The following is a 22,507-nucleotide window of genomic DNA, read 5'->3' on the forward strand; positions in this document are numbered from 1 at the left end:
AACAAAGTTTCTATAACCAGGCCAGAAATTTTGAGCAACCTCCGAAAGACAGATGGACTCAGATCTATAGAGAAACCCAGCTGGTGGAAGCCATGTATTGCAGAGGTATATGCAATTTGGGGGAGCCCTAAGCCCAGAGTCAAGAGGTAACAGATGCTAAAGCAATCAGATATGAGTGCATATTTAATTGAGAACATGTTTCTTGAGCATCCAGTCCAACTGACTCCTTTCCCCTTTCCAGGTTTTGCTGAGCATTGGGCAGCGATCACTCTTTGGACTCACACTAAAGCAGTCCTAAGAGTATAAGCCCTAAGGACACAGAGGCAGAGTAGTGCCTCAGATAGCTATTCCCGCCAAAGAAGCATAGGAGTCCACATACCCACAAACAAACCCTCCCTCTACACAGCACACCCTCCCCCTCTCTATATTCACCGCGTGAAGTTTATGCTAAATAGAAACGGCATTCAAATGCCTGCAAACAAAAGCTCAGAAATAAAGAAGAGCATGCCACAGAGAATCACAATGTTTGAGAAAAGCAAATGCCATAAAATAGAGACACTAAAATAAAACAAACAGAAACAAAAACAAATGAACAGAAAATCTGAGATTGGCTTAATGAAGAAAATAGAGGGCTTTGAAATAAGAATAGCTAATATCCTCAAATGAAGAACAGAGCATATCACTCCCATTAAAAGAAAAGCTAAAAAGAAAGAAGGATGGGTGGAGGGTTCCAACATTCATCTAAAAGCTCTTCTAGATCATTTAGGTTGGAGAGGGGAAGTTCATGTACAAAATAAAGAAATAACAGAAGAAAATGTTCTAGTACTAGTGTGAGTCAGAGAATAGAAAGAACCCACCAAGTGCCAAACAGAGTGAATAAAAAGAGACTATACCCACACAAATGCTCATGTTTGAAACTTCAAATCCTTTAAATTTCAACAGAGGTAAAAATAACTTACTTATGAAGTAATAAAGATCAAATTGCCTCTGAACTTTTGGCAACTCTAAATGCTGAAAGATAATGGAGTAGTATCTTTTTTTTCCCTTTATATATACATATATATATATATTATTTCACTTTAAGTTCTAGGATACATGTGCACAACATGCAGGTTAGTTACATATGTATACATGTGCCATGTTGGTGTGCTGCACCCATTAACTCATCATTTACATTAGGTATATCTCCTAATGCTATCCCTCCCCTCTCCCCCCACCCCACAACAGGCCCCGGTGTGTGACGTTCCCCTTCCTGTGTCCAAGTGTTCTCGTTGTTCAATTCCCACCTATGAGTGAGAACATGTGGTGTTTGGTTTTTTGTCCTCGCGATAGTTTGCTGAGAATGATGGTTTCCAGCTTCATCCATGTCCCTGCAAAGGACATGAACTCATCATTTTTTATGGCTGCATAGTATTCCATGGTGTATATGTGCCACATTTTCTTAATCCAGTCTATCTTTGTTGGACATTTGGGTTGGTTCCAAGTCTTTGCTATTGTGAGTAGTGCTGCAATAAACATACATGTGCATGTGTCTTTATAGCAGCATGATTTATATTGATTATCTCAACAGATGCAGAAAAGGCCTTTGACAAAATTCAACAGCACTTCATGCTAAAAACTCTAAATAAATTAGGTATTGATGGGACGTATCTCAAAATCATAAGAGCTATTTATGACAAACCCACAGCCAATATCATACTGAATGGGCAAAAACTGGAAGCATTCCCTTTGAAAACTGGCATAAGGCAGGGATGCCCTCTCTCACCACTCCTATTCAACATAGTGTTGGAAGTTCTGGCCAGGGCAATCAGGCAGGAGAAAGAAATAAAGGGTATTCAATTAGGAAAAGAGGAAGTTAAATTGTCCCTGTTTGCAGATGACATGATTGTATATCTAGAAAACCCCATTGTCTCAGCCCAAAATCTCCTTAAGCTGATAAGCAACTTCAGCAAAGCCTCAGAATACAAAATCAATGTGCAAAAATCATAAGCATTCTTATACACCAATAACAGGCAAACAGAGAGCCAAATCATGAGGGAACTCACATTCACAATTGCTTCAAAGACAATAAAATACCTACGAATCCAGCTTACAAGGGATGTGAAGGACCTCTTCAAGGAGAACTACAAACCACTGCTCAACGAAATAAAAGAGGGTACAAACAAATGGAAGAACATTCCATGCTCATTGATAGGAAGAATCGATATCATGAAAATGGCCATACTGCCCAAGGTAATTTATAGATTCAATTCCATCCCCATCAAGCTACCAATGACTTTCTTCACAGAATTGGAAAAAACTACTTTAAAGTTCATATGGAATCAAAAAAGAGCCCGCATTGCTAAGACAATCCTAAGCCAAAAGAACAAAGCTGGAGGCATCACACTACCTGACTTCAAACTATACTACAAGTTTACAGTAACCAAAACAGCATGGTACTGGTACCAAAACAGAGATATAGACCAATGGAACAGAACAGAGTCCTCAGAAATAATATCACACATCTACAACTATCTGATCTTTGACAAACCTGACAAAATCAAGAAATGGGGAAAGGATTCCTTATTTAATAAATGGTGCTGGGAAAACTGGCTAGTCATATGTAGAAAGCTGAAACTGGATCCCTTCCTTACACCTTATACAAAAATTAATTCAAGATGGCTTCAAGACTTAAATGTTAGACTTAAAACCATAAAAACCCTAGAAGGAAACCTAGGCAATACCATTCAGGACATAGGCATGGACAAGGACTTCATGTCTAAAACACCAAAAGCAATGGCAACAAAAGCCAAAATTGACAAATGGGATCTAATTAAACTAAAGAGCTTCTGCACAGCAAAAGAAACTACCATCAGAGTGAACAGGCAACCTACAGAATGGGAGAAAATTTTTGCAATCTACTCATCTGACAAAGGGCTAATATCCAGAATCTACAAAGATCTTAAACAAATTTACAAGAAAAAAACAAACAACCCCATCAAAAAGTGAGTGAAGGATATGAACAGACACTTCTCAAAAGAAGACATTTATGCAGCCAACAGACATATGAAAAAATGCTCATCATCACTGGCCATCAGAGAAATGCAAATCAAAACCACAATGAGATATCATCTCACACCAGTTAGAATGGCAATCATTAAAAAGTCAGGAAACAACAGGTGCTGGAGAGGATGTGGAGAGATAGGAACACTTTTACATTGTTGGTGGGACTGTAAACTGGTTCAACCATTGTGGAAGTCAGTGTGGCGATTCCTCAGGGATCTAGAACTAGAAATACCATTTGACCCAGCCATCCCATTACTGGATAATGGAGTAGTATCTTTAAAGTCTTGAGAAAATAATTTTGAACCTAAGATCCTGTATCCATCCAAATAATCAGTCATATGTGAGTTCAAAATAAAGATATTTTTAGACATATAAAACTCATAAAAGTTACTTTTCAATTTCTGAAAAATTAGTCAAGGATATACTGTGTCAATATAAAAAATCTATAAATTTATAACTATTTTAATTATTATTGATGAATATGCCAGATATTATCTAATGTCATTCAGCATCATTTCCATTTCCTCCCGTAGTCTTCCCAGGGACTAAAAGTCTGTGAGCTGCATTTCCTTGTCTTCTTTGCTACTGGAGTTTCTGATACTCTATAGATTCTTGCAATGCCATGTACCTGCACCAGATCTGGAAGATGGAAGGGGAGCAGAGGCCTTTCTTGTAATTGGCAGTGAATGTGTGGATTTCAGCAAACATGGTCTTTTAGGTCAGGGATGTTCAATCTTTTGACTTCTCTGGGTTACACTGAAAGAAGAATCATCTTGTACCACACATAAAACACACTAACACTAAGGATAGCCGATGAGCTTTAAAAAAATCATGCAAAAAATTCATCATGTTTTAAGAAAGTTTATGCATTTGTGTTGGGCTACATTCAAAGCTGTCCTGGGCTGCATGCAGCCCATGGGCCACAAGTTGGGCAAGCTTGTTTTAGGTAGTTATGTTTCCCTGACAACCTGTCACTTTAGCACAACTGTGCCATGGCGGTGGCCTTTCCTACCATCTCCTGGTTCCTGGGTGGTGGCAGCAGAAACTTCCTGATTTTCTGGATCACAGTTAAAGCGGTTGCCTTCTGACTTTCACTCTTTCAGCACTTCCAAAGTTCTAGTAAAGCACCTAATTTCTTCTAATCTCTTTCTGTTTGGCATAATTAGAGTAGTTTCTGACATTATCGTGATTGCTAATGGTCTTATTTATTTATTTATTTATTTGTTTATTTATTTATTTATTTATTTTGAGACAGGGTCTCACTCTGTCAACCTCTGCCTACTGGGCTCAAGCAATCCTTCCACCTCAGCCTCCCAAGTAGCTGAGACTACAGGCACCTGCCATCACACCCAGGTAATTTTGTATTTTTTAGTAGAGATGGGGTTTCTCCATGTTGCCCAGGCTGGTCTCAAACTCATGAGCTCAAGCGATTCACCCACCTTGGCCTCCCAAATTGCTGGGATTACATGCATGAGCCACCCCACCTGGCCATGTTAATCATCTTTTTAAAGGCCATAACTATTAGGAATTTTTTTAAATGCCACCCAAAAATTATTTTCATAAAGAGAAACTCTCTGGAGTCTAAATTCAAATCAGACTTCTTTTCAAATCTCATACCAGGCTCCTCCCACTCTGTTATCACTAAAGAATTCAATACACTTAAAAATATAAGAAACCTCACTAAAAACAGATCATTCCTCAAGAGTTTTACAAAATCCGGAATATTTGTAAATTTTTGTGCCGGACTCAAGTTTTCATGTCCTCCAGCAACTGCAATGAAATCTAGAAAGGTTTTTGCCACACGGTGAAACTTACTCTTATGTAATATATTTATTTTAAAACCCATGAATTTCAATGTCTCTACAAAGAGAAAAACATGCAAAAACTACCCCAAAATGGGTTTTGTTCTATCTATAAATTTAAGATAAAATTCTACCCCATGAATGAGCCAAAATTTAATTTTCATAATAGCACACCAAGAACAAAACCTGTAAATTTTTAGGTAGGGGCCAATTTCTGGGAGAGATACTCAGATTTCAGAAGAGTTTCCTTACTTATTTCATAGTTGAAACCTTATGAAGTGTAAGTTAAACCTAAGTAAATCAACGGTCTAGGTCTTTAAATGGCATATACAATAAGACTCTACAGAGTGAGCAATACAACAAGCCCAGAACAAAAATAGAACTTGTTTAATGCAACTGGCTCTGTGCCTGGCAGGCAGCAAACTTTGCAGAATCTGTAGAATTTCATTGCAACAACTTCAGCTCCATATTTCTCTAGTAACTAGCTCTAAGGTTCATTGATTCATTCAACAAACATTCACTGAGGATCTACCATGGAGTTTACTCATTGGGAGAAAACTTTCACCTTCATCCCCTATCCTTTGCTCTTTCTTCTACACACAAACGTGCCCATTCTCTTATCTTCTACTTGCAATATACCATCCCCCTCATAACTGCCCTTATTTCACTCCTTCTCTTTTTTTTTTTTTTTTTTTTTTTTTTTTTGAGACAGAGTCTCACCATGTCGCCCAGGGTGGAGTGCAATGGTGCCATCTCGGCTCACCGCAACCTCGGCCTCCCGGGTTCAAACGATTCTCCTGCCTCAGCCTCCCAAGTAGCTGGGATTACAGGCACCTGCCATCACGCCGGTGGCTCATACCTATAATGCCAGCACTTTGGGAGTCCGAGGCAGTCAGATCCCGAGGTCAGGAGTTTGAGACCAGCCTGGCCAACATGGTGAAACTCCATCTCTACCAAAAAAAGACACTCCTTTTCTTTCTAGTTCATGTTTGCATTCAACATGTGTGTAGTGCTTCCTGCATGCCAGGCCCTGCACATAAATGAATAGAACCTGATCCTCAGCTTTGAGGTCATGCAGATGGTGATCTGCAAAAAAGCAAACCTAAAACACAAATGTAGCTATCTCATGCTCTTACAAAGGTTTCCAGTTACTCATTGGAAAGTCTTAAGCATGGCATACAGGAATTTCCACAACCTGATCTCTGTCCTCCTAGCCAGCTTCACCTCCTACCATACCTCCCTCAAACTTCACCCTCCCACGTTACCAAACAATACTCACAGCTCCCATATACTCCATGCTCTTCCTCAGGCCCGTGCCTCTGCTCATGCTGCCCTCCCTGCTTGGGATGCTTTTGCTCCTCCTCCTGGTTTGCCTGCCTCCTCCTGCTTCTCAGACATCCAACGGCCTCCTTCAGGAACCTGTCTTGAACACATCTCCATGTTCCCCACTTCCCCAAGTTGGCTGGCTCTCCGCTCTCCTGTTACCCTCTGTGTTTGCCTCTATCAACAGTTATCACATCGCAGTTGAAATGATTTAGGTTTTACCCATTCACTCCACAAACTTTATTGAGGAACCGTTAAGTGCCAAATATTTGTCGAGGTGCTCAGTACACAATAGTGATCAAAATGGACATGCTCCTTGCTTTCATAGACGTCAAATGATGAGGGGAGGTGGACAGCAAATAAGTATAAACGTTCACACAACTTGGGGAAATGACCATGAAAATGATGAGAACCATGCTCTGTTAGAGAGAAAAGGGAGAAATCAACTAAGATGAAGTGGCCCAAAAATTCCTGTCTGAGGTGGTGACAAATGCCTGGCACATAGTAGGTACTCAATAAATGTTTCCTTGACTATAAACTGAACAAGTAAGTCTATTCAGGAACGAATGATAAAAGTGTACATGGCAGATATGATGGTGTAAAAGAACATGGTGGATATAGGAAGGACAGTAAGTAGGAAAAGAAGTTGTGGTGGGGCAGAGAAATGGGAGAGAGGGAGAAAAAGAGAGAGAGAGAGATTGGTCTGTTTCCTTTGGATTGATTCCCTTTCTTGAGAAAAATGTGAGATCACTTTTGACCACCAGGGGGCAATATTTGATCACAGGTGACAACCACAGTTTTGACTCAGGCCATCATTTTGTAAGGAGGCACTCCTGTGTTAAGAAATAGAGGACTCAGACCTAAAATGTTATTCATTTTTTTACATTACTAATAAATATAAAATCCTTGAAGATGACAAATACTGTGTTTGGATTTAAATGAATTAAAATGGAAGAAAAAAAGGCTTTTCATATTCATAGTTCTCTAAGTATCCTTATCGAATGGAACAAATCTCCACTTCCTAATCATTTATAATTCCCATCACTCAGCTATAGGTCACAGCAGGTATTAATACTGGATGAGAAGGAATCTTCTGGTTTTTATTCAGTACTTATGCTGTTCAAGCACTTCCAACCTGTGCTTCCTTCATATTGAATAGTCTTGTTTAGCTTCCTCATAACTCATTGAGATAGATGACAGGCAATTATCGTTTTTGTTTGGCAGATAAGGAAACACGCAAGAGCTCTCTGCTGGTTAAGGCAGAATTGAACATGGCCACCCAAGTTCGACAGGCTGCCTGGGAATCCCTTTTATTCACCACCAGCCAAAATGAGCAAGCCCTGGAGCACTGCCATTTCTTGGAGAAAGTCAATGACCAGGTGCTTTCAGAGTGATATCTGAGACACCTAGAGATGTTATTCCTGTCAGAGCACATCGGGACCTGTATAAAGAGCTTAGAGCCTGTGCTGGGCCCAAAAAGGAGTGTTCCCAGAGGCCTTGGCAACATTTTCACCAGAAACCATTAATAGGAGAGACCAGATACTGTTCCAGGAAGTAAAATGTCATAAAAGTTGGAAGGAAATAATCCAGGCTTTGCTACCTGGTTATTCAATCAGAGGCCATTCATTCAACAGCACTGCATGAGTAACTGTGGGGATAGCAACGTATAAAAGATTGCTCTTGGCCAGGCGCGGTGGCTCATGCCTGTAATCCCAGCACTTTGGGAGGCCGAGGCAGGGGATTCCACTTAAGACCAGGAGTTTGAGACCAGCCTGGCCAACACAGTGAAACCCCGTCCCTACTAAAAATACAAAAATTAGCCGGGCCTGGTGGCGCATGCCTGTAATCCCAGCTACATGGGAGGCTAAGGCAGGAGAATCGCTTGAACCCGGGAGGTGGAGGTTCCAGTGAGCCAAGATCACGCCACTGCACTCCAGCCTGGGCAACAGAGCAAGACTCCATCTCACTCATATAAATAAAGTGCACCTATCCTGAAAGAATGTAAATCTAATTATGAGAGCATGGCATATATGCATTAAAACATTTTCAAATACTATAAAACACTTTCTGTGTGGCAGAATTTCACAGAGATTGTCAATAAATATTTATTGATCACCTACTAAGTGAAGAGCATGAGTGAGATGAAAAGTATGGAAAAGGCACTGTGGTTGCCCTTGCAGACTTTATACTCCAGTTGTAAAGAGCATGTTTGTTCTGTTTATTAACTTATTCAGTGAATATTAATGGACCACCTACGATGTGTAAAGCACATGCTAGATAAGAAGAATATGAATAACCCACAATTACCCACAGGAAACTCACGGTCTGGATGGGGACTGGCAGACCTATAAACATACCATTTAGTTTCTTTCTTTCTTCTTTTTTTTTTTTTTTTTTTTTGAGACAGACTCTTGCTGTGTCACCCAGGCTGGAGTGCGGTGGCACGATCTCGATCTTGGCTCACCACAACCTCTGCCTCCTGGGTTCAAGCAATTTTCCTGCCTCAGCCTCCCGAGTAGCTGAGATTACAGGTGTGCACCATCATTCTCAGCTAATTTTTTGTATTTTTAATAGGGATGGGGTTTCACCATGTTGGCCAGTCTGGTCTCAAACTCCTGACCTCAGGTTATCCTCCCACCCTGGCCTCCCAAACTGCTAGGATTATAGGCATGAGCCTCCGCGTCCAACCCAAATCATTTACTTTCAATGCAGTGTGTGTGTGTGTGTGTGTGTGTGTGTGTGTGTGTGTGTGTACTTATATATACATATATTCTTACAGGAAGGTAGAGGAGGAGAAAAAAATAATTTATATATATACACACACATATAATTTTACAACAGTGAAGATTGGACTATTTGTTTATAGATAGGTAGATAGATAGATAATAGTCATTAAGGTGGGCATGAGAACTAGGAGAAATATCACAAAAAAGGTGACATTTGAGGAGAGTCTTGAAGGTGTTTTCCAAGTAGACTCATAAATGAAGGGTCTTCCAGGTAGAAGGAACTGAGTGTGCAAAATACAGAGTGAGGAAATGGCATCGTGCTTCAGTCATCACTGAACCACAGCCAAAGTTGAGCAATCATGGGACATAATCACAGTAGTAGGTGAGACCAGATAGCAAAAAGGAGGGGGATTTCAGCTTTACACAATAGGAAGCCTTTGAATATCAAAAGAGACTCAGACAATCACATTTGCATCTTCAAAAAACCATTTTAATTGCTGCAAGGAGGATTGTTTGCCATGGAACATGATTAGAGGAAAGGAGATAATTAGGAATGTATTTCCATAGTCCAAACAAAAGCCAATGAGAGGGATGGAGTAATTACTTAGGATATAGAACCAAGGTGACATGATAGCCAATTAGTGTTGAGAATATGGGATGAGAAGTGTCAAGGACAATGTATCTCTATTGGGTGTTCTTAATTTCTACCGGATCTCGACTGGGTGTCTTCAACTCACACCCTGGTTGGCATCAATAGGAGAAAAACTGTAGGAAAATGAATGGGAAAAGTGGAGGTTAAAGTCCTCAGATTTAAACACGTTGCGCTCAAGGTGCCAGCAAAACATCTGGTAGAGATGACCCACTAGTTGAAAACTAAGGTAGCCATAGAATACTTTCTGGAAAACTTTGGATTACACTAGGCCTGGAAGAATAGGTAGCGTCTGTAGAGGGAGGTGCAGAGGTGGAGGTGGAGGGTGGTTGGCAATGAAGAACATTCCAGGTAAAGGAATATTCTTATATTCTTAAGGAAGTCAAAGAGGTAGAAACAATGATTGTATATGAGACCAACCTCAACAAAGCAAGTTGTGAGGAAAAAAGATGATGTTCACAGACAGAATGAATCCAGGGTCAAGCACACTCTGAGGAAGGATATTCTGATGATAAGATGCAATCTATGGTTGTAGGGGTGTCCAAGGGAGAGAATACAGTCATGGGTTCTTAGTTTCTGCTTCCGATTGGGCCAGTAAAGCCCCTTCCTCATCCCTCTTTTCTGCTTATCACTAGAGACAGAAACTATAAACCATGGCTTCAGGCTGCTTAAAGCCTAAAACAAACAAACAAACAAAAAACCAGAACAACAGCAACAAAATAAGTTAGGTTAGACAAGCTTGGTTTAGAGCCTAGAAAATCTAGCGAGGGTGACAAATGGGAGTTTAGTATATTTTTCAGGGAATGAAGGATATAAAAGAAGGTCATCTTCCTTATCAGAGTAAACTGCAGAGTCTCCAAAATTAAGTACCCAAAGCATAGTCTCCTATTACAAAGGAGAGGTGATATAATAATGATACTTGTGAATATTTACTATATGCTAGTCACTGTATTTTAAGGACTTGACATACTAATTCATTTAATGTTCCCAGGAACCATGAAGTAGATATTATTATTATTATCACCTATGGATAAGATAACTGAGGCACAGAATTGTTCAGAGACCTGCTGAAGATTACTGTATTAGTCCATTTTCACACTGCTGATAAAGACATACCCAAGACTAGGTAATTTGTTTAAAAAAAAAAAAAAAGAGGTTTAATAGACTCACAGTTCCACGTGGCTGGGGAGTCCTCACAATCATGGTGGAAGGCATGTCTTAAACGGCAGCGGGCAAGAGAGAACGAGAGCCAAGCAAAAGCAGAAACCCCTTATAAAACCATCAGATCTCATGAGATGTATTCACTATTATGAGAACAGTATGGGAATGGGAGAAACCACCCCCATGATTCAATTATCTCCCACCGGGTTCCTCCTACAACATGTGGGAATTATGGAAGCTACAATTCAAGATGAGATTTGGGTAGGGACCATATCAGTTACACAGCTAGCAAGTGATGGAGCCAGAGCCTAGCTGTGCCGCCTGCATCCTCCATCGCTTCACTGCATTGCCTCCCAAGTACTTAGCTGCTCTCACTCAGTACCTTCCCTTTTTCCTTGAGCTCATCCATCAGCATCTTTGTTAACACTACCATGATGATCCCAGTAGCAGTCTGCTGCCCTGTCTCCTTAGCAGTGCTGACACAAGCCAAAACTTGTTAAAAAAAAAAAAAAAAACTCATAAATGAGAATAGAGTGGAAACACAGGAAGAATACCAAGAAAACCAATTCGACTTATGAAACATAAATGTCTAATCCTTTTCTAGCTTGCTTACCCTGTTCCTCATGATCTCCTCAGAACACTTTACTCATTCCAAGGGCTGATATCCCTGAATACTTCTTGCCTGATACCCTCACCTTCCAGCCTTTTTCATGTGGTAAAACCATCTTTAAAACATGCAAAATGGGAGCAACTATCTGGATATCTGACTTAGAGAAGATCCTTCTTAGTGGAAGTTCTTTCTCATTTCCCTGGACGTACCTAGGACTCACCTGCTCCCCAGGTGATTGGCATCACACATGACTTCATTCTTCTAGTGAGGTTTCCTGTCCAGGATCCCCATGCCCACAACTCTCACCTTGAACCATGTTTTTAACTCTTCCAAGTAACAGAGCATTTCCTAATACACTGCACCAAACATTGTGTCCATGTAGGAGGAATCACACACCTTAAAAATGGAAGTATTTCCTCACAAAGTGCCAGGTGTTAGACCAGGGAGGAGGCATTGGGCAGAGAGAGGAAAGGACTGGGTTGAAAACCCTTAAGTGAGTTGGATAAGAATTGAAGAACCCAAAATCACAAGTCCAGGTGACAGATAACTAATTATATTGAGAAAGAATATAGAAGAGAAGTTGGTGGGAAGAAGTGCTTTTGGCAAGGGGTTAAACAAAGAATTTCCTCTTACCCAAGTTGTCTGAGGTACGGGAGAAAGATCCAAGTGCAGATGCCTCATGGGGAACTGAACACCTAGGACTAGAGGTTGGTGCTAGAGTTACAGATAAGGATGTCTTCAGCATAAAGGTGAGAAATGACAAAGAATTGTTCCAAATTTTGAGAGAAGAAAAAAATACCAACAGGACAGAACTCACAGCTACTGGATAACATGAAAAAAAAAAAAGAAGAGGAAACCAGGAGATAAATGAAAAAGGAAGAGTGCAGGAGAGAGGGGGAAAACAGAAATATTGAAGCAGCACAGATAATAAAAAGATTTCTGAAAAGAGAGAGCAATTGACTTAAAAATTCCCATGTGGCAAGGAATGCCATAAATAATAGAAGATAAACAGCATACTGGGAGAAAACATCTTGAATTAGTCCTTTTGAGCTACTATAATAAAATACCTTAGACTGGATAATGTATAAATAACAGAACTTTATTGCTCACAGTTCTGGAGGCTGGAAGTCCAAGATCAAGGCACCAGCAGCTTCAGTGTCTGGTGAGGGCCTGTTCCTTATGCCTTCTATGTGTCCTTCCATGGTGGAAGGGTAAACAGTCTCCCTTGGGCCTCTTTTAGAAGAGAATTTCACTCATGGGGACAGAGCTCTCATGACTTAATCGCCTTCTAAAGTCCCACCCTTTTGCAGTACAATACTATTGCATTGAGGATTATGTTTCAACATATTAATTTGGCAGGGAGGGACACCAACATTCAGACCATAACACATCTAAACTACATAGAGCAGATGCGTTAATATTAATATGAAAAAATCTGCCATACAAAAAGACCAAAGACTATGAACAGTAATTCACAGGAATGGAACTGAAAACAGTCAGTTTACATCTGAAAAAATACTCATAATCTTCCGTAATCAAGGAAATGTAAATTAAAACCTATCAGAAGTATTGACAGCATCTGTGGTAGCCAGGGTGTGGGGAGTCAGGCTCTTTAATATATTGCAGGTGGGAGTGGAAATGGCTGCAATCTATTTTTAACAGTTATCTTGTGGCACCTAATACTTCCAAAATATATTGACCCAATGATGCACCTCAACTTTGAAAAACCTCCCAAGTCACAGATAAGAAAATAATTGCATAATTTATGGTATATTCATACTATGAAATATTATGTATCCATTAAAAATAAAATATGTTTTAACCTGAAGGGATGTGCTATATTTTTAAAGCAAAATGTAAGTTGCAAAGTAATATTTATAATATGATTTCCTTTCTGTAAAAAATAAGGGGGAGAAACCCATATTTATGCATGCACAGTTAAGTGCATTTGCATGAGCACAGAGAAAAGAGTGGAAGCATACGACCAAACTAATAACTTCGATTACTGAAGTGGGACAGGATTGGAGGGGAAGGGAAATTGATTAAATTTTTCTTTATACACTTCTGGATATAGTTTGATCTGTCACTGTGTACATACATTTCATAGGTTTTTTGGTAAAATCCAAATAAGTAACGGTAATCAAGAAGATGTAAAAAGTATCAGAAGCACATTCTTCTAGAAGGATGCACACTGTAATGGCCAGATGGGTTCTTCCTGTGCAGTGCACAGAAAAAAACAATTCACTGTGCTATTGCAGTGGAGAGAGTTTCATTAAATCTGGGTCGGCCACATAGAAGATGGAGTTATTACTCAACCCGTCTCTCTGAAGGCTCAGAGGTTAGGACAATTTGGTGGGCAAGGGACTAGGGAATTGTGCAGCTGATGGGTTGGGGATGCAATCACAGAGGTGTGGAAAACGGTCCTCATGCACTGAGCCCATCTCGGTGGGAGACTGACCACAGGACCATTTGAGTCGTAAGTCCAGATGGAATTGGTCTGAAAAATATCTCAAAAGACCAGTCTTAGGTTCTACAATACTGATGTTATCTATAGGAGCAACTGGGGAAGTTACAAATCTTGTGACCTGTGGCCACATGACTCCTGAGCAGTAAGGGATCAGAGAAACTACACCTACATTTTAGTAAAATTCAGGCCCTCCCATAATCTCATGGCCTTTCATTAGTTTTACAAAGGCAGTTTTGGTCCCTGAGAAAGAAGGGGGTTCGTTTTAGAGAACGACTATTATTATCCTCATTTTCAAGTTAAACTATCAACTAAATTCCTCCCATGGTTAGCTTGGCCTAGGCCCAGGAATGAGCACAGTAGCCGGCCTGTGAGGCTAGAAGCAAGATGGAGTTAGCCATGCTAGACTTCTCTCACTGTCATAATCCTTGTAAAAGCAGTTTCAACACAAAGACAAAGCCACTGGCCATAGCAATAAGGAGACAAAGCTCTTTAGAAAGCTCCTTAGGAGAGTGGGGTTCAGTAGGTGAAACAGACAGCAGGAAGAATCCTGGTTTCAAAATATTCCAAAAGAAGTGAGTAGTAGAAAGATTCTTACAGAAAGTTAATATTCCCATGGGGGTTGAATACTTTATATATATATTTCTGTTTGCATAAAGTTTTCCATTTTATGAAAATAAACACATATTTTGTGGGAGATTTCACACAAAGAAATAAAAATAAAAGAAAAAAATGCACACAATAATTTGTTAAAAGCTTTAAAAGGCTTTCTGGTGCATTATCCTGTTTGGCCCTCACAGGAACCCGGCCCTGTCATCAGGATTACCTTCCCATTCTACACATAGGAAAACCAAATCACAGACAATAAAGTGACTTTCCCAAGACACACAGCTGCTGAGAGGCCACGATGGCCCAACAATCAGCTCTCCTGGATTAAACCTCTGTATTTCATTTAGCAGAAGCCCCAAAGTGCAAAAGTTCCTTCTGGCATCCAAGGGAAGCAGGTTGAAATATGGAGAACTCACTCCCATTGTTGGATAAAGAGTAGATCAGGGGAATCCGATCTGAATCAAAATTAGCTTCACTGTACCCAAGCTGAGGCAGGGGGCTGTAACAGAGAAGCCAGCCAGATGGAAGCTTCTATTCCTTTCTGCCACGAGCTCCCCATGACCTCAGGAAAGTAACTTCACCTCTGTGTCTCAGTTTCCCTCTCTCTAAATGGGATACCCTATCTTCCTCCAAAGAGAAAGTGTGCTGAGATCAATTGGCCTTTGTCTACAAGAGCTTTGAACTTGTTAGTAGAAAGTAGTACACAGGTCGCCTGATCCTGCTCCTTTAGAAGTGACTCTTTGAGAACATGTTCAGGAAGATGATTTATGGCCTGGCCATTCCACCCTCATTCACCTCATGGTGCGAATAAGCCTGCTAAGGGCGTCTAAGAGACTAAATATAAATTGAAACCACGCCTGCTGAAAGCTGTTGGGTGCCAGGAGCTGTCAGAAAAACCTGATATCTTTAGTAGTCAGGTTTGTGTGAAAGAATGTGACAAACCAAGGCCAAGGCCAAAGGGGATCCACCTTAACCAAAAAAAACCGTGTGTGCGTGTGTGTGTGTGTGTGTGTGTGTGTGTGTGTGTGTAAAATACAGTCATGCAGATAGATACCAGTTCCATTAAGGAAACTTCATTTATCTTTCCTTGATTCCAGAAAACAAATAGTAACAGCCTCAAAACACCTTCTTTGGGGTTACTGAAAAGCTAAGAATGAGTAAACAACCATATATACCATAGGTGTTGAGAGATGATGGGTTTGTGTGCATTTCCTGTTCACCCAGCAATGTGGTAAACTCCTGAAGCAAAAAAAAACCTTTCTTGTGATGGTCTATTTGGTGTCTGCTCTTTCTCCTGCCCTGCCCACTCCTCACACATGGCATATAAGGCAGGGCTTTGCACACAGAGGCTCATTCAACACTGACGTTCTGATGCTACATGTTCACAGCTTAAAGATTTCTTGGGCATTCTACAGAAAAAAATCTGACAAGTGACAGACATTGAATTCTAACATATGGGATTATAACTAAAATATTACCCAGACTAGTAGCACACATTTAGATGGTTATAGCCTAAGCACAGTAAGGGTCCTTTTGTTACTTAAAAGAAAATTTTTTTAGTAGAATAGATTACCTGACATTCTATGACTCTCTACTTACATACACACTCAAAAGCAACCCAGAGGTGTTTATGCACATAAAAATCAACCTTTTCATTGCTTATCGAGCCCAAGACATGTACTATGGGTTAATTATTTTGCTACATGGTACCCAGTATGTGGAACCTAAAGTTTTGGAGGGGTTGCTTGTTTGTTCTTTTCAGGATTGTTTGCTTTTCTAAAACACAGTTCCTTTCTTCCAGGAGGTCACTGAAGGTCGAAGGAGACCAGTAGTTGAAACTAATATCTTCTATGTCCACTGTTAAAGTTGAATGAGCATCCACTCTGTATAAGACACTATGTGAGACTCTAGGGCATGAAAACGTATAGGTAAAACTTCTGCTTTAGGGTCTCCATGGATGGTTACATTTAGTTTTAAATACCTGGTACACCGCACCTTTCCAAGTTTTATTTCTTGCCTATCAAATGCGCCACCCAAGACAGTGGATGGCATAGCTATGAAATGAATAAAAGCCGAACAGTGTTTTTCCTAATCCCTAGATCCATAATCTTTGATAAGCATCATAAAAGAGCAATGCAGTATAAATAGAGCACTCAGGGCATCATAAAGCATAATGAATAATTTGCACAGATCTACTTTTCAATGAAGAAATAACTTTCCTTGGAGCTTTCACATTAGGATATAAGAGAATTAAAATAAAAAAAGAAGAAAGAGAGGCAGCAGAGGAGGGAAGAGAACAAGAAAGAAAAAAAGAAAAAGAAACCTTTCTGTTGTTTTGAAAATGGGATCAATTCTTTTTTTTTTTTAATTCTATTGATTCTTAGAAGAAATGAAGTCACTGGATCATGTTTCTGCTTATTTTGGAGCCAGAGTAGTTTCGTCGTCAAAGTTACAAGCTCTTTCCTCCCATTAAAGGAGTCCCAGGCTCCAAACTCATTATTACTTCTTTCCGTCCTTGAGTTTGTCCACAGAAGCGGCCTCCCATCCCTTGCTTCTGTACCTGTATGATGGAATCAGTGTCAGATTTCAACTTGGAAACCTGGTTAAACTCAGAGGCTGTATTAATCCTGTTTGAAACCTACCAACCACATGACTAAAAAAGAGGATGAGAAACTAAATTCCTGGTTGAATGAGTTGAGGATTTCCATGGCCCCAGAGACAAAACAGACTGAGGAAAACAGAAAACATCTCTAGCACGTGGCTAGAGGCAGAACAAGCCTTGACATTTAGACTTTGAAGAACCATAGCTGGGCCTAAGGGACAATCTGGAAGTGAGCACATCAAGCTCTTCAAAGAAGCTTCTGTTAATGAAGGCTGCTGCAGGGCCAGGCTGCAGCTCGGGCTGCAAGCCGGCCATCAATCAGCACTTAGTTCTCCTCCTGGGCACCCTGACACTTCACACATCAGTCCAGTTTAGGCAGGCTGAGTATTCCTAAAATTAAAATGCCTGTGTTACACTGACCCTGAAGATAAAGGAGGGGCAAGAGAAAGAATGAAGAGGCAGAAGGACTCAGGCATAGGACTGAGATCGCTGGGCAAAACACTGCTGATCCCAAGATCTGATTTCATTCCCAATGTCCAAGTCACAAAAAAGTTCTGCTGAAATATACAAGAACTCCAGAGTAAAAACTCCAGGAGATGGAAGAATATTCATTGCCAAAATTGAATCCCTTGGCCATTCTAACTCCTCCTGAATTCTTACCCTCGGAGCATTCAGGTTTGCAGATTGGCACCTGAGCACAGGAGCTCATCAAAGTCTTGACAATTCGCCAAAGATCATTGTTAGTCTTTGGTGACAATACCACTAGTGGGCACAGAGCCACAGAGTCCTAAGTGTCAATGAATGATTTTGTTTTCTTTGGAAATATTGATCTTGAATGATCAGGGGTCCTACAAGCAGAGGGGGAAGAGATCCCAACGTGTGTTTGGTGGCTGGCAAATCATGTAAGCACCCAGTTGTTTACTCATAGGGTTCCTGAGTTCACATGATGTGGCAGGAGGCACTGTTGCAGCTCTCGGCTCCAACTTCCATCCCCTCTGTGTTACTAACTCCTGTTAGCATCAAATCTAACCCTTTAATTATTTAGGAATCTCATAAAGCATTAATTGTTCAACCTCTCTCATTGTATAGAAATTTTAGTTCAAATATCTATGAGAGTATACAGGAACAAATACCACATTATGTTTTATATATATATATATATATGTATATATCTGCAAGTGAAAACCCATCAGTTCTTATCATGAGAGGGACCCACATCCCTTATTTGGTTAGTTAGTTTAGCAGGTGCTATGACACTGAAAAGAAATGGTCAAGGATGAAGCAGAATTTAACTTTTTTTTTTTTTAAGACAAGCTCTTGCTCTGTTGCCCAGGCTGGAGTGCAGTGGTGTAATCATAGGTCACTGCAGCCTCAAACTCCTGGGCTCAAGCAATCCTCCTGCCTCAGCCTCCCGAGTAGCTGGGACTATGGGCACGTGGCACCACTCCTGGCTAATTTTTTTTGTTTGTTTGGTAGAGATAGTGTCTCCCTATGTTATTCAGGCTGGTCTCGAGCTCCTGGACTCAGGCAATCCTCCTGCCTTGGCTTCCCAAAGTGCTAGGATTATAGGAGTGAGCCACCGCATCCAGTCAGAGTTTAACTTCTTACTCCATGTTCTACTTCCTCAATATTATGTGATTCCTCTACTCCTCATTACATATGCCTTGTTTTCTTCCACCATTGAAATTGCTCTCCAGAGTTTCCTCCACAATCTAACATCCTGTGGGCAGCACTGAATTAGATACTCTTAAATGACTTGCAGACCTTGGCCCGGAGTAACCCAGAGCCTCCCTAGGAAAGGCAACTGGGCTTCAAGCAGCACCTCTACCTCGCCTTTAATCACACCTCAACCCCGATGACACAAACCCTGCAAGTATTGCCCCACCCTTGCAATCATGTTAGGAGTTTTCCCAGGCTGTTGGGCAGAAGTACTCCAGCACAGAGTTTGGTATTATAGCTTTGCTCATAATATATTCTGAGTTCCCCATGAAGTTTCCAGACAGAAAGATGACAAGATAACTAGGCATATGGAGTCTGAAGGCAATGAAAGAGCTACTAGTGATGAGGGGATTTATGAGACTCTTTCCATAAAGAGGGGAGAGACTCTTACTACTCTCCCCACTTTGTCACAATGACTAAGACAAAGTTCTGGTGAACTCTCCTGCAACATTCTGGCCCTTCCCAGTAACTCATAGGCCACAAAAAATTATAAAATAGCCATAGTGCATCTGTCTGACATGCTCATTTCTCCCATTGCTGTTCACAGCACTGTAATGTAATTTTTCTTTTCTTTTCTTTTTTGAGACAGTCTCACTCTATCACCCAGGCTGGATTGCAGTGGCACAATCTCAGCTCACTGCAACCTCCACCTCCTGGGTTCCAGCAATTCTCCTGCCCCAGCCTCCCATGTAACTGGGATTACAGGCACCCGCCACCACACCCAGCTAATTTTTGCATTTTTAGTAGAGACAGGGTTTCACCATGTTGGCTAGGCTGCTCTTGAATTCCTGACCTCAAGTGATCTGCCCACCTCAGCCCCACAAAATGCTAGGATTACAGGCATGAGCCACCACACCCGGCCCTAATTCTTTTTCTTTCTTTTTCTTTCTTTCTTTCTTCTTTCTTTTCTTTTTCTTTTTTTTCTTTCTGTCTTCGCTTCTTTATTTTTTTGAGACAGGGTCTCACGCAATGGTGTGATGTCGGCTCACTGCAGCCTCGACCTCCTGGGCTCAAACAGTCCTCCCACCTCAGCCTCCTGGGTAGCTTGACTACAGGTGCCCGGCCAATTTGTTGTTGCTGTTGTTGTTGTTGTTGTTGTTGTTGTTGTTGTTGTTGTTTTGTAGAGATGGTGCCTCGTTATGTTGCCTAGGCTGGGCCCAAGTGATCCTCCTGCCTCAGCTTCCCAAAGTGCTGGGATTATAAGCATGAGCCACCACATCTGTCCTTGTAATCTAATTATTTCTAAGGAAGAAACTATAGCAGAGAGGGAGAAAAAGAAGAGATGGAGGCATCTTTTTAAAACACCCAGAGTTGGAGATTTCCTAATCTACAAATTTATAACCTCTAAGTGTTAGAAAGAGCATAAAGAATATATCCTCAGCTGGGCACAGTGGCTCACATCTGTGATCCTAGCACTTTGGGAGGCCAAGGTGGGTGGTTCGCTTGAGGCCAGGAGTTCGAGACCAGTCTGGCCAACATAGTGAAACTCCGTCTCTACTAAAAATACAAAAAAAAAATAGCTGGGTGTGGTGGCACACGCTTGTAATCCCAGCTGCTTGGGAGGCTGAGACACGAGAATCACTTGAACCCTGGAGGCGGAGGTTGCAGTGAGCCGAGATAGCACTAATGCACTCCAGCCTGAGTGACAGAGCAAGACCCTGTCTCAAAGAAACAGAAAAGTATCTCCTCAAAGAACACTACACTTGTACTTACGTGTCCTCTGCCATTTTCCTGCCCAAGAGTCCACGTCCTGCATGTGACTGCTACTGAAGAAGGCAACACCCACTGAGCTGGCCATCCCTTCCATGTCAATACAGTCCAGCATCTCAAAAGGGGATGACTCTGAGGCCCAATCTCAGCTATCCTACTACCATTAAAGTGTTGTGTCAGCATGCAGCCTGAGTTCATTTTCTGAAATACATCTCCTCTCTTCATGTTCTAGGTCAAATACAAGTGACTCCCGGCTTGGTCTTATTGCTGACATCTTTCTTGTTCCTTCCCAGCTGAGCTATGCATGATTCTCTCCATATATTTCTCATCATAAATCAATCCCTAATTCCTTAAAGTATTAGCAGCTACCTCAAGAGCTTGTATGGAGGACCAAATTAAGCATAAATAGAAAGTATATAGTGTGGCAGCCAGCACATACAAAGATCTCTACCAATATCGACTATTATTGACTATTATTATCTACGTGCATTTCTCTTTATTCCACCCATATGATCATTTTTTGAGGATAGGGACAAATGAGTCTAAAAACTGGACCTGGCATTCTCAATGCAATTGTACCTAAAAGACTCAAGAGAAGGACTGGCTCTCCCTCCTCCATGAGACATTCCAGCCAAAATAGCCCTGCCCTTTCCCACCAGGAGGTCACATTACACACATGCGTCTTGTTAGCATTTCGTTCACCATGACTATTTTGACATTTCTGTTGTTGTCATTGCGCCTAGATGCTTAATATATACTTTGAATTACTTTCCTTGAAAACAAACAAAAACCCTCTTTACACAGGTTTTGATTGGTTCAAGTCCTTCACTAGTATTTGCTTCTCCTTCAGTTTAGCATTACCAACAAGTTGTGATGTACTGATTATATTTCTTTTTTGAGGATTAAAAGGTGCTAATTGGAGTAAATACGCATGAAGGCATCTGTAGGAATATTTAATTAAAACACATCTGGGCAGTTAATTGATTGCTTGGTGAAAGCAGAACACTGTTTTTGAAAAACACAATTGAGACTCAATATTTATTGATTCTACCATGTGCAAGTTATTATGGCAGGTTTCCTATGTGGAAAAAATGTAATTTTATGGGAAAAGATGGTTGTTAATTGAAATATAAGTCTATATACAATGTGTAAGATGCACAGAACAGACCTACGATAAAGAATCACTGGAGGTATTTCTCCATCAAGCACCAGCAAATACCTGGTATTCCCCACACTGAGCTCACAGCAGATACCAGGAATGGATCATGGCTCAGCCCAGACAAAGCCCTGGAGCCCTCCTCAACACAACTCCTTAGGAAACCTACATGAATCAATCAGAGTTTATCTAGTTATTCATTTGCTCAGCAAATATTTATTGCTCACTTACAATGTGCCAGGCATTGTCATAGGTGCTGTGCTGTAGCAGCAGACAATACAGAATTTGGTCCCTGCCCTCCTGGAGGGCTTGTGAGATGAGGCTGGAATTTAATACAAAAGCTTTTCCCATTCCTAACTTAGACTATCTTGTGCTATTATAATTTGTCTATTAAAAGATATAAGATAAGAGAAGGAAAGCACACAACTACTCTGTCTGTAAATTCCAGGATCCTGGAATTGAACTGGGTCAACAAACTGGAAGAGGAAAACTATTCTAGATTATGTGCTAGAAAGAGGGTGTATTAATCAAGACCTTTGTCTACAAGTTAATAGAAAGTCCAATATAAACTCATTTTAAATGGGAAAGAAATTTATTGCTTCACCGTTTCAGAGACTGACTTGTCCCCCAATATCTCATAATCATATAACTCCTAATTATTACCTGGGCATTTGGCCACTTAGAATAAAAACTACTTTTCCAAGCCTCCTCCACACTAAGCTTTAGCCAATAAGATATAAATAGAAGTCTATTTGGCAGCTTCTAAGAATCTTCCTCAAGAGACAGGGTGCACATACACTTCACCTTCTTCTTTCTTATGTCTTCCTCCTTCTAGCTGCCTGGAAAACAGAGGTCATTATCTTGGACCTTAGGATAAAGGTCATATCCTAGGGATAGTGGAGTGATGATCTGGAAGACTTCGGAGTCCGTG

General features: G+C 40.8%; 2 annotated features.

The window, feature by feature from the left end:
* Positions 14,986-15,280: an enhancer, noted in NCBI's record as "tiled region #13175; K562 Activating DNase matched - State 9:DNaseU". NCBI's record gives its function as "activates a minimal TATA promoter and a strong SV40 promoter by Sharpr-MPRA in K562 cells {active_cell/tissue: K562}" and the evidence as "EXISTENCE:reporter gene assay evidence [ECO:0000049][PMID:27701403]".
* Positions 14,986-15,280: a silencer, noted in NCBI's record as "tiled region #13175; HepG2 Repressive non-DNase unmatched - State 3:PromF". NCBI's record gives its function as "represses a minimal TATA promoter and a strong SV40 promoter by Sharpr-MPRA in HepG2 cells {active_cell/tissue: HepG2}" and the evidence as "EXISTENCE:reporter gene assay evidence [ECO:0000049][PMID:27701403]".

This window comes from Homo sapiens, chromosome 8 (assembly GCF_000001405.40).
Source record: "Homo sapiens chromosome 8, GRCh38.p14 Primary Assembly".
NCBI classification, from domain to species: domain Eukaryota; kingdom Metazoa; phylum Chordata; class Mammalia; order Primates; family Hominidae; genus Homo; species Homo sapiens.